The 13,188-nt window shown below is 50.0% G+C and overlaps 1 pseudogene across 1 annotated transcript; it reads left to right on the forward strand.

The window, feature by feature from the left end:
- Nucleotides 1-2,529: 2,529 nt before the first annotated feature.
- SERPINA13P (serpin family A member 13, pseudogene) lies at nt 2,530-8,799 on the forward strand (annotated as a pseudogene). The gene is made up of 5 exons (NR_015340.1): nt 2,530-2,771; nt 3,106-3,705; nt 5,274-5,544; nt 6,762-6,882; nt 8,316-8,799. The product of NR_015340.1 is annotated as a serpin family A member 13, pseudogene (transcript).
- Nucleotides 8,800-13,188: the final 4,389 nt, after the last annotated feature.

Here is a 13,188-nt window from a genome sequence, read left to right on the forward strand (position 1 = left end):
GGATTTCCACATCACCCTAATGGAGGGCAGATCGCTTTCCTCTGTTGGTTTTTGCCAAGGGTGGACATTGAGCCAAGGGCAGCCTTATTCAGTCTGTGTTACTCCCAGAAATCCAGCCCGTCACAACCCTCCCTGCAGGGACGCACTTTTTCAAGGGCCATTAAACCTGCCGAATCTCCCCACCTCCTCCAAAAGCTCACGGAAAGCATTGACTTTCAGGTGAGTTGGGGGCTGTGGGTGGAGCTAGATCCCCAGCTCCCCAGCTGACTTGCTGAACTTGCCACAAGTTATATCATCATGCTACACACACACCTACACACACACACACACACACACACACACACTCACATGCCCACTGTGCACCAGGAGCTGTGCATATAGGCAACAATCTGGAGTGGTGCTGACTCACCCTGCCTCCATGGCCTCAAGCATGCTCTTGCCTCTGCTGAAACCCCCAAACCCCTTTCCTGCCTCTCCCCTGCTCCATCTTCCAGTTTCAGTTCAGGTGCCACCTCCTCCAGGAAACCTTCCAGGAACTTCTACCTTCCATGCCTCCTGCAGGCTCCTCATTCACCCTTTGCAGTTCACCTCTAACTGCCATCGCCCTTTCCTCACTGAGCTGTAATCAGCTCCCCACATTTCCCTGCGATCACTGGCATGCTCCTTCCAGGCAGGGCCCAGGCTGCCAGTCCCTGTTGCCCTGACTGCTGAATATTGGTTCAGTGAGTGAGTCAGCAAGTACATGAACGAGCTTCTCTTGGGGCCTCAGTGTTCCTGTCTGTCCAGAGCCCAGGTTGGACCAGGGCATCCTTTCTGCTCAAAAGCTCCATAGTTTTGGGGCCTCAGAGGAAGCCTCTGCTGCTGCTAGGTTCCATCTACACCCTCACCAGCAAGGCACAATGGAACCCCACCTAAAGAATGTGAGCGTGGACAGGACACTGGACCCGAGACAGCTTGTCACCAGCCTGGCCATGGAGCACACGCCACCCTGCGCAGATCTCTGCATGTCTGTCCCACAGGACCCGAGCCTCCCCAAGGGAGCCATTGTGTCTCACTCATCTTGTGTCCCCAGCATACAATTCAAGTCCTGACATGTAGCAGCCGTTTTGTCTATGTTTGTTCAATGAATGAATGAGTGAATGAATGAAGGTTAAATATAATAAGAGAATGAAAGTGCAAACTTCAGCAAAACCAAGATATTCACCAAAGCAGATTACCAGGCAAATGGGCAAATGGAGATGGTTGGTTCTCTGTCGATAAGTAAATCACGGGGAACAGAGGCTTTCCTGGAGGCTGAGGCTGAGCTGATTGTTTCTTACACTGATGAGGAAGCTCAAGTTCAGAAAGGCCCAGGGCTGTCCGAGGTCCCATGGAAAATCAGAGGCAGGACAAGGGGTTGTGATGATGGTCGATTCTGTCAGTTATTAACCCAAGCCTAGACTGGACATGCGAGGCCAAGCACTTGTGGCAGAGAAAGCTAGGAATGGTCCAGTGTTAAGGTCCCAGAGAGGCAGGAAAATGCCTGTGCTCTAGGTAAAGGCTGAAGCCCTAGAAGGAGGCCCCCCCAAAGGTTAGCCCATGAACCATTTGTTTTTTCAACAAATATTGTTGAGTGAGCACTAGGAATGAACCATGCACGAGACAGAGTATCTGCTCTCACGGAGCTTATCTTCTAGTGGGGAAACCAGACAAACATGTCCTACCATGCCAGATGGGCATCAGAAAAACCAGGCAGGGTGAGGGTGGCAAGGGCAGAGGTGGGGTCTCTCTGGGGAGGTGACCTTTGAGCAGACAACTGAGTGAAGGAAGGAAGCGAGCTGTGGAAAGGGCGAGAGCAAGGCTGCTCCGGGCAGCCAATGGCAAGAGCACAGGTCCTAAGCAGGAAGAAGCTTGGTAAGTTCTAGACTAGCAAGAAGGCCAGGATGGTTGGAGCAGAGGGAAGGAGGGAAAGGATGGTCAGAAGGAGGTCAGAGGCCAGGCACGGTGGCTCACGCCTGTAATCCCAACACTTTGGGAGGCCGAGGTGGGCAGATCTCCTGAGGTCAGGAGTTCAAGACCAGCCTGGACAATATGGTGAAACCCCGTCTCTACTAAAAATACAAAAAAAAATTAGCTGGATATGGTGGCACACACCCGTAATCCCAGCTACTTGGGAAGCTGAGGCAGGGGAATTGCTTGAACCTGGGAGGTGGAGGTTGCAGTGAGCCTAGATCATGCCACTGCATTCCAGCCTAGGTGACAGAGCAAGACTCTGTTAAAAAAAAAAAAAAAAAAAGGAGGAGGTGAGAAAGGCTAGCAGGGCCTTGTCATGTAGGGCCTCCTAAGGTGTGGTGAGAAACACGGGATTTCTCTTAGTTGCTATAGGGTCATTGGAAGTCTCCAGCAGGGAGTGAACGCATCTGATTTACCTGTTGAAAGGATCACAATGGTTCCCTAAGGGGGGCCCAGGACCAGCTCAGACCCTTGCCAAAATGGATTCCAGACTCCGTGGAGGCCTGCTGAGTCAGACCACTGGAAGGGAGGCCCCACGTCCGCTGCCACTCCTGGGGCTCTCTGTGCCAGGTCCTGGGCTGAGTGTGCTCCGTGCATGATTGCTTTGAATTTCTGTAACCTTGTGATGTGGGGATTCTTAGCAGCATGCCACAGAGTGGAAGCCAAGGTCCTGAGAGGCAAGGCCACCTGCCTAAGGTGCTGGGCTTATATGAGCCCAGCCCTGGACTCCTCCCTGTACCATGAGTCACCTCCTGGCCCTCCCCTCCTCACAGCTTCCTGTAAGTCTAAGGTCAGGGATAAGAAGTGGGACTCAGATGGGCTAAGTGAATCGCCCGAGGTCATAGATCTGGGATCTGGTGCAGCCAGGATTCATAGAAGGGTCCTCTGGAGGAGGGGCTCTGACTTTGTCCAGAGATCCCCCATGTCTGTTTGTGAGCAGGAAGCTGAGGGGTGGGGAGGAGGGCATGGGAAGGGAGCCCCCAGGAGAGGCAAGGGGAGCCTTGAAGTATTTGCGGGGTGCCTGGGACAGGGCAGACATGTGGTGAATATCACACATTGTCATTATCATTACCATTGACATTGCTGTTGTCCTCTCTGCCACGCTGCTTTCAGACCAAGGACCCCAGAGGATGGAGGCCTCTCGGTGGTGGCTGCTGGTCACTGTGCTCATGGCTGGGGCTCATTGTGTGGCCCTGGTTGACCAAGAAGCTTCTGATCTCATCCATTCTGGCCCCCAGGACAGCAGCCCTGGGCCTGCCCTGCCCTGCCACAAAATCTCTGTGAGCAACATAGACTTTGCCTTCAAGCTCTACAGACAGTTGGCTTTGAACGCCCCCGGGGAGAACATTCTCTTCTCCCCAGTGAGCATCTCCCTGGCCTTGGCCATGCTTTCTTGGGGGGCCCCAGTGGCCAGCAGGACCCAACTCCTGGAGGGCCTGGGGTTCACCCTCACCGTGGTGCCTGAGGAGGAGATCCAGGAAGGCTTCTGGGATCTGCTGATCAGGCTCCGTGGGCAGGGTCCCCGGCTCCTCCTGACCATGGACCAGCGCAGGTTCAGCGGCCTGGGCGCGAGGGCCAACCAGAGCCTAGAGGAGGCCCAAAAACACATTGACGAATATACAGAGCAGCAGACCCAGGGGAAGCTCGGGGCCTGGGAGAAGGACCTCGGCAGTGAAACCACAGCGGTTCTGGTGAATCACATGCTCCTCAGAGGTAAGAGCGTGTGTGCCCAATGCAGATCTCCTTCTCAGAATCCCAGAACCCAGGCTCCAACCACAGCCTAGCCCCACCCATCACAGCATCTGGAAAGTGTCCCCTCCTGACTTGGATATAGATGACACTCGGTGAGTGTCTGCCCCTGAATCCTTGATATCTCTACTTGAATGCCTCCCGTAACAGGGAACTCATCCCCTTCTCTATGTTAATGATACTGGAAGAGTTTGTTTTTAAAGAAGACTTTTTCAAACTTAATGTGCATATGAACTCTCTAGAGAGTTTGCTTAAATGCAGGTATCTCGTACCTATCCTAAGTGATTCTGATTTCAGTGGAGTAAGTCCAAGACCCATGACTTTGCGTTTGAAGAAGCTCGCCTCCCTTCCCCACACAGGTGATTCTGCTAATGGAAGGCTGAGCTCCCCTTTGAGCAACTCTAGAAGCCACCACTGTATTAAGGAACCTGAATTTCCTTCCTCTGGCAGGCCTTAGGAGGCACGGATTAGAGCAGGAAGAATCCTAAATTTTTTTAAAGTCCTTAATTTTTTCCAAGAGAGCAAACAGGCTGCATGTCCCCACCATTGAGTGTGTTTAAATAATACGGTCATGACATTCAACCCACCGCTGTTAATGCCTGGCTTAGTTTAATACTGACGCCATGGTGGCCATTTGGGGGCAGGCAGGGGGACGCGTGTTGTTATCCCCTTGTTCTCATTCAGGACTCAGGAGGTGAACTCAGTTCTCACATTTGTACAGTGCTCTGTGGGTCTCAAAGCGTGTGTACCCCACAATCTCCCTTGACTCTCTCACTTGGGTGAAACGGACCAGGCTTATCTTAGCAGATATGCCTAAGATCAATGTTCCCATTTTACAGATAAGAAAACACATTTTTTAAAAAGAAGAAAGCTTATTTGCCTGCGCCAGTAAGGCACCACTCAAATATGCATCTATGACTATTGATGGTGTTAATTTGTAGACATGGTTACACATATACACACGCACATATTGACTACGAAGTTCTTATTAACATGCCGGCTCTGTGCATATTTAATTTTTAATTCTCATCGCAACCTGACAAGATAGATATTATCGTGTCCACTTGAACGATGAGAAACTGACGCAAAGTCGGGTAACTTGCCCTAGATTTCAAAGCCAGGCAGGGCCTAGCCTTCAAATCCACACCTACCTTCAAGAAGCCTGTGCCACAGTGATACATTTTTTCTTAAAAATTAACCACCTCCAGGAGAGGTTAAGGAGATGAGAGACCATTTGTGTTTATGTGATTGTAATCTTGCTACACTATTGTAATAGTTTCTAATAGTATTGATCATTTTCAAATGAGGAGACAGAAGCTCAGGGAGGCTCCGGGCTCAGCCCCCAGGGCCACGCAGGTACTAAGGGACCTCTCAGGAGGGAGTTAGTGAGTGGGATTTGGCTTCCTGAGTGTGGACTCCAAGATTCCAGCATCCAGGGTGCTTTCCCCACTCCCACAAGCTGCTAGAAGGGTAACCCCAAGCCCGTTCTCGGTTCTCTGCGAGGATGACGTCCGTGTTGCTCTTCCCCTCAGCTGAGTGGATGAAGCCCTTTGACTCACGTGCCACCAGCCCAAAGGAGTTCTTTGTAGATGAGCACAGCGCTGTGTGGGTGCCCATGATGAAGGAGAAGGCCAGCCACCGCTTCCTGCACGACCGTGAGCTGCAATGCTCTGTGCTGCGGATGGACCACGCTGGGAACACCACCACCTTCTTCATCTTCCCCAACAGGGGCAAGATGAGGCAGCTGGAAGATGCCCTGCTGCCTGAAACACTGATTAAGTGGGACAGTCTGCTCAGGACCAGGTAGCCTGCACACAGCAGAGCCCCGGGGAGGCCGGGCCTCGCCTTCTCCCTCAGCCACCGTAAAGTGTCCCCAGGGCACAGTCACCTCAAAAGCATTGTCACCCCAGGGCACTGTCATCTCCAGGGCACTATCACCCAAGGTCACTGTCCCTATTCAAAGCACTGTTCTCTCCCAGGATGCTGTTACATCACCCAGGACATCTCACCTCCAGGACACCGTCATCCCTCAGGATATTGTCACCCTCTCAGAGTACCGTCACACCCCAGAACACTGTCATTCCCCAGGCACTGTTATTTCTAGGACACTGCCACCCTACAGGTATTGTCACCCCTCCAAGACACTAATGCTCTCAGGACACTATCACCCTCCACCCATGGCATCATCACCCCCAGAACACATTGTCATGACACTATCACCGCAGGGACACAGTCACCCCCCGGGATGCTGTCACCTCCATGGTATTGTCCCCCCTCAGGGCTCTGTCACTCTCCAGGGCACTGTCATTGGCCCCTTGAAGATATCAGTTTGGGTCCTGGGGAGGAAGGACTGGAGAGAGCACTGGCCCAGGAGTCTGGAGGCTGGTTCCAGTCCCACCTCTGCTGCAGACACTGTCACCTGTCATGGGCTCCCTTGGCCCCTCACGCTGTTTAAGAGCCTGGTGCTCTGGCCTCTCCCAGTCTCAGCCTTCTCCCTCCTCGGCCTTTTTTTCTGTGTTCCCAACTCCCCCATGCTTATTCCTGGAACCTACTGTGCTCTCTGCAGTTTCCTGAACTTGCCAGGCTGTTCCTCAGCCCCGGTCTTTTGTGTGTGCAAATTCTCGTCCTGGCGTGCCCTTTCTTGACCCAGCCCTCTTTGGGATTCTTATTCTTTATTCATGGCGTAGCAGAGCTATCACTTGCTCTGTGAAGGCTTGACGGATCCCCAGAACAGGCAAGGTGTGCCCTCTAAGTGTTCCTGGGAACATCATCGTATCATCTGCTATTATCACATGGGAATAACAGTGTCTTCGTCATAGGGCTTCCATGTCAGTGTAGTTACAACCCACTTCCCACACTGAGGTGAATTGGGGATGGTACGCCTTTTAGAAAGCTCACACCCACTGCCCCTCAGAGAATGGGATGGAGGGGGTGTGTGGGGCAGAGGGACCCCAGGCAGGGAAGAAGGTGAGAGGCTGTTTCAGGATCTCTACTGCAACCCAATTTCTGTCTCTCCGCAGAGAACTCGATTTCCACTTCCCCAAATTTTCCATTTCTAGAACCTGCAGACTGGAGATGCTCCTCCCATGAGTGACTGTGGGTGGAGGCTTCCCTGGGCAGCCTGGACTGAACATTTCTAAAGTAAGTTGGGGATGGTGTGTTCAGAGGGCCTCTTATTGTCTTTTGACGAACACTGGAGAGAGATGTCCAGGACCTCCTTAAAGACAGGAGACGCTGTTTCCTTTAACTTTGCAAGTTGCTATTTGCTTCCTTGCATTTATTCCATGACTACAACCTGCTTTGTTAAAACACTGGGGATCCCAAAGGAAATAAGGAAAGGGAAGGCAGTAAATATGCAAATCATGTTCCCACGTTGGAAGTGCAGAGGATGCTTCCTGGGGAGGTCACTCATGCTTTTAGACCTAAAATACAAGCTATGTTAAAAAAAAAAAAAAAGGACTGACAGGGAACTTGGGGAATAGCTTGGTCCTCAGGGAACTGAAGGTTTCCAAGTGTTCCATGATCTAGTCATCACCCTCCTGTCCAGACTACGTCTCCTACTCTTCATAGCGTCCTGCTGGACTGAACTTCACGGCATCCTACATGTCCCCACAGTTTTCACCTTCTTACTTTGGCTCAGACTTTTTATTTTTAAACCACCCAAAACGTTCTCCCCAAGGCCTTGCACAAATGTTACCTCCTCCATGAAGGTTTCTCTGCTCTTATCCTTCACCCCCACACTCAAAGCAGAAAGAAATCTCTCCTGATAACTTTCCACTCTTGCTTTCTTTATCTGTCTTATCTTCCCGATCAAATGATGAGCTTCTTCAAAGTCAGTCCAATCCATGTTTCTATCCCCTACCATCCCTGGCACAGTGGAGTGCACAGCATTGGTACTCAATAAATGCACACGGAATAAATTCATGAATACACGAGTAATGGAATGAGAGAGGATAAGTTAGCAAAATTAAGTGAATGAAAGAAAAAGTCAATAATGGTTGGGTGAAAGAGTAGTTGGATGAATGCATGGATGAATGGATGGAGAAATGGGTGGATGGACAGATAGATGCTGGTGTGATATTCAAAATATACTGCAACCAGTATAATGCAGATGCCAGCCATAAAAATGGATGTAGGTGAGGAGATTGGTGATTGGATGCATGAATAGGTGAATAGCGAATAGCTGGAATCATAGATAGAAAGATGCATGGGTAGCAAGGTGCATGGATGATGCGTGGATGGGTGGGTAAGTGAGTGGTGCATGGACAACTATGTGAATACATGAGTGGTGCATGCAGAGATAAGTAGATGGCTGAGAGGGTGTGGAGTATGATTGGCTGGCTGGCTGGTTGAATGGATCAATGATGGGTGGACAACAGTCAGACAGGAGTATGTAAGAGTAGTAGATGGATAGTGGATTTTTTAAAGGGTAGTTAGCAGAATCACTGACTGGGTAAGTGAATAGATGGATACATATGGGGTTAAGTAACAGAATAAAAAAAATTGGTCCCAACATAAAGGCCTGGTTTGTCCCTCCTATGGGTGGCTTGATGATTCTATAATTTTCCTTGCAGGTCACTCATAAGGCCATGATGACGCTGGATGAGAGGGGCTCTGAAGCTGCTGCAGCCACCAGCATTCAGCTCACCCCTGGGCCTCGCCCAGACCTTGACTTCCCACCCACTCTGGGCACTGAGTTCAGTCGGCCCTTCCTGGTGATGACTTTCCACACGGAAACAGGAAGCATGCTTTTTCTGGAGAAGATTGTAAACCCACTGGGATAACGCCCCCTCAGACATGCTGGGTGACTCAGAGAGAACAGAATGGCCTACACAGCAGGGAGCTTCTATTACAGCCTCAAGTTTAAGGAAAAGTTGCATATACCTGAGTTCTTTTGCTTGGTTTCCACAGGAACCAAGTGGGTAAGGATAGTAATGGTGATCAAGGCTGTTCTCCCTGCACACAGGCAGTAATTACCATTGAGCAAACACCTACTATGTACCAAATGCTTTCTATCTCTTATCTCATTTTAAAATGAATTACAACAACAATCCAACAAAATAAGTATTTGGTTGAACCATATGAAATTGCTTATATTTGGGTTGTACCTATATTTTGTAGATATAAAAAAAAGGCAACTTCTTATGATTCAACCCTTCTCATAGCTGAGGATCAGAGAATTTCAGAGACGTGCTCAAGTTCACTGAGCTAGAAAGCAGGCGAGCTGCATTCCAGTCTTATCCATTTTGCTAAATTAATGAATCTCAAACTTTACTATATGCACAAATTCCCTGTGGGTCTTTTTAAAAAGCACATTTTGAATCAACAGGTCTGGGATGGGGCCTGAGGTCCCATACTTCTCACAAGGTCCCAGTGATGCTGAGGCTGCTGGTAGAGTGGCTACATGTTGAGCAGCAGGTTGCTAAATGCACTTGCCCCCATGATCCTCAGAGAGGTTAAGTTGGTGTGGCCTGCAGGGCAGGGGAGTGGCACTGGCCCCTTAATCTATGTGTGGGGCTGAGAAAAATATGAGCAACACCTTTTTGAAGCCTACAGACAAAGCCTGTTTTAGGGTTACCTATTAATGAGTAGAAAGGGAAAAATGAGTATCCTGAAGATTTTTTGCCCAGTCTAGACACACAGTGGGTATTTGTAACTGTCTGTACCCACTGTATTAGTCTGCTCTCATGCTGCTAATAAAGACATACCCAAGACTGGGTAATTTATATATATATATAAAAGAGGTTTAATAGACTCACAGTTCCACATGGCTGGGGAAGCCTCACAATCATGGTGGAAGGTGAACGAGAAGAAAGGCATGTCTTACATGGCGGCAGGCAAGAATGTGTGTGCAGGGGAACTGCCCGTTATGACACCATCAGATCTCATGAGACTTATTCACTATAATGAGAACAGCATGGGAAAAACCTCCCGCCAGGTCCCTCCCATGACTCATGGGGATTATTACAATTCAAGGTGAGATTTGGGTGGGGACACAGGGCCAAACCATATCATCCTCCATGTAAGTTACTGCAACTGTGACTTTGGCTGTCAGCTGGCTCATGTTCCTGGATTTCCAACTGCACAAAAGAAGGAACCCACACAAGCTTTAGGGCCAGGCACATCTGAGACCAAATCTTGAATCTGGTGCAAAGCAGGTTCACTGTGCACTGGTGACCAACTTGCCTGAGTCCAGTGAGACCCACACATGAGTTACATGAAGTGGGTTTATTACTGACAGATGGGCAGCAAAGGATAACAGAAGCCTAGGATTCATTGCAAGCTGGGTCCCCAAGGCTCAGGAAAGCTGCCTGGGGAACATGGGGTCTTATCTGTGTGGGCTCCATTTGCACAGCAGCTGAGGAACCCCAGAAGGCAGCCCACCCTGAGTGTCTTAGTCTGTTTGTTTTTCTATATGGGAATACCTGAGGCTGGGTAATTTATAAAGAAAAGAAGCTTATTTGACTGACAGCTCTGCAGGCTGTACAAGAAGCATGGCATCAGCATCTACTTTTGTTTGGGGCATCAGGCTGCTTCCACTCATGGTGGAAGACAAGGGAAGCCATCATGTGCAGAGATCTCATGGTGGGAGAGCAGAAGCCAGTGAGAGGGGAGGGAGGCACCAGGCTCTTTCTTTCTTTCTTTCATTCTTTTTTTTTTTTTTTTTTTTTGATACAGTGTTGCTCTGTTGCCCAGGCTGGAGTGCAGTAGCATGATCACAGTTCACTGCAGACTCAACCTCCTAGGCTTAAACAATCTTCACACCTCAGCCTCTGGGTAGCTGGGACTACAAGCACATACCACCATGCCTGGCTAATTTCTTATGGCGTTTTGCCATGTTGGCCAGGCTACACCAGGCTCTTTTTAACATTGGTGCTCTCAGAAACTGAGTGAGAACTCACTTACTTCCACAAAAATGGCACCAAGCCATTCATGAAGGATCTGCCCCCATGATCCAAACAGGATCCCAGCAGTCCCTACCTCCAGCATTGGGAATCGAACCTCGACATGAGACATGGCAGGGCCAGACAAACCATATGCAATCCGTAGCACTGGGTTTTACACCCAGGGGCAACAGGACTTGCTGGGCTAAAGTGTTGAAGGACACCATGTTTCTAGGGAGGATGGGAACAGAGCCTGGGCTGTTCTGGCCAGTCCTTCCCTATCTCAGGATATTGTATTCCCAGCCCATGCTGCAGTTATTCTTGAGAACTACAAATGAGAAAGAAGTGGGGGAGAACTGGATCATCCAAGGCCGCCTGGAGAAATGCCCTGCACCTGGCTCTCACTAGACGCCCCTTCTAGAGCCTTACCAAAGACAGTAGGCAGGCACAAGGAACCATGCTGAGTGCTGGTCAAGGAGCCAGGCCTGCATGAGCCCAACTAACCTTCATTTTGCATTCTACATTTTTGCAAGAGATAAAACTTGTTTTTATTTTCTCCTCTCCAATGAGAAGGTGCCCACGAAGTACCAATGAGTCAATAAAATTAGACTCCCACAGAAGGGGGCAGTCCTGGAGTCGCCGGGGATAATACCCCTGAGAAGGTGGAGTGAGCAGCCCCAGTGTACAAGAAAACAGGTGTCTTACCTTTTGTTTTGTGAGGGTTTCCAATGAAAGGATCCCAAACTCAAATGCCTATTGGGGCAGGTGGGCAGTAGGCAGTGATTAGAAAAGGAAAACAACAGCACAAGTTCAGTCATGACCTGGGCCTCTGTGAGGGGATGAAGTGCTGGTAACTCAATGCTCTTTCCTCCTCCCTCCCTGGCTTAAGGGACTCTGTCCCCTCTGTCTCTCAGATCCGGCCAACCCCGTGCTCCCCATTCACACTGTAAGGGATGATCTGGTCCAATGCCCTGGTATGAACCCAGGTGCCCACAATACCAAAGCCAGGAGGGGGCTGTTAGCTGTCTGACAATGTGACTCTCAGTCCCGTGATTCCAAATTCCTGAAACGAGGAAGCCCAAAGGCTGGCCCACCACCTGGGACAAGAAAGCACACCAGCAGCACTGGCAACATTGGAACAGGAGATCCTGCCGCACACAGGAGTGCCAACGCCATCCCTGTCCTCAAGGAGCCCATGGCAGAGAGAGGAGGATTGTGCCATGCACAACCAGCCAGAATGCAAGGCAATTACAGCTGTGACAGAGGGGACCAGAGGACAGATTTCAGTTCGCAAAGGATGAAGGAAGTAGGGTAGCATGCCAGAAAGACCCTGGCAGTGGGGGGTACCAGGTGCAACTTGATGCCACCACGAGCCGTGTGAACTTAAGGAGGTGACTTTCTCTCTCGGAGCCTCAGTCCCCCATCTGCCAGGAGCTGTTACAGAACATGACATGTATTCATGCAGTCCTCATGGCAACTCGGTGTGGGGGCTCCTTGCATTCGACAATTGAGGAAACTCAGGGACAGAGAGGCTAAGAAACTTCCTCTTCCAAGTCTCCCGCATGGAAGTGATGTCTGCCTCCCAAATCTCATAGCACCCTCCACACCTCTTCTGAGCCCTGAGCCCTCTCTTTCATGCATTTTGGTTTTAGTCTCTGCCTTTCATGCCTGCAGCAGATCGAACCATGTCTGAGCCACCTCTGGATCTTTTAGGCGCGAAGGCAGTGGGTGATCAGGGCCTGGCTGGCTGGAACACCAGCAGACCTGGATTGTTCTAATAATAGAGCAGAGAAGAGAGGTTGGGGGAGAAAAGGAAAGGAACAGTAAGACATACAGAGACACACACACACACACACACAGACACACACACAGGAACACACACACAGAGACACAGACACAGACATACACACACACAGAGACACAGACACACACACACAGAAATACACACAGAGAGACACACAGACACACACACAGACACACAGATATACACACAGAGACACACTCACAGACACACACACATATACAAACACAGACACACAGATATACATACAGAGACACACTCACAGACACACACACATATACACACACAGACACACACAGACACACAGACACACACACAGAGACACACACACAGAGACACACAGACACAGAGCCACACACACAGAGACACACACAGACACACACACAGGCACACAGACACAGGCACACACACAGAGACACACACAGACACACACACAGAGACACACACAGAGACACACACAGAGACACAGAAACAGAGACACAGACACACAGAGACACAGACATACAGACAACACAGACACACACACAGAGGCACACACACACAGACACAGACACACACACAGACAGACACAGACACACACAGAGACACATACAGAGACACAGATACACACACAGACATAAACACACACAGACACACACACAGAGGCACAGACATACACATAGACACACACACACACAGAGAGACACACACACACAGAGACATACACACAGATGCACAGACATACACAGAGGCACACACAGAGACACACACAGACACACACAG

Source organism: Homo sapiens, chromosome 14 (assembly GCF_000001405.40).
Source record: "Homo sapiens chromosome 14, GRCh38.p14 Primary Assembly".
NCBI lineage: Eukaryota > Metazoa > Chordata > Mammalia > Primates > Hominidae > Homo > Homo sapiens.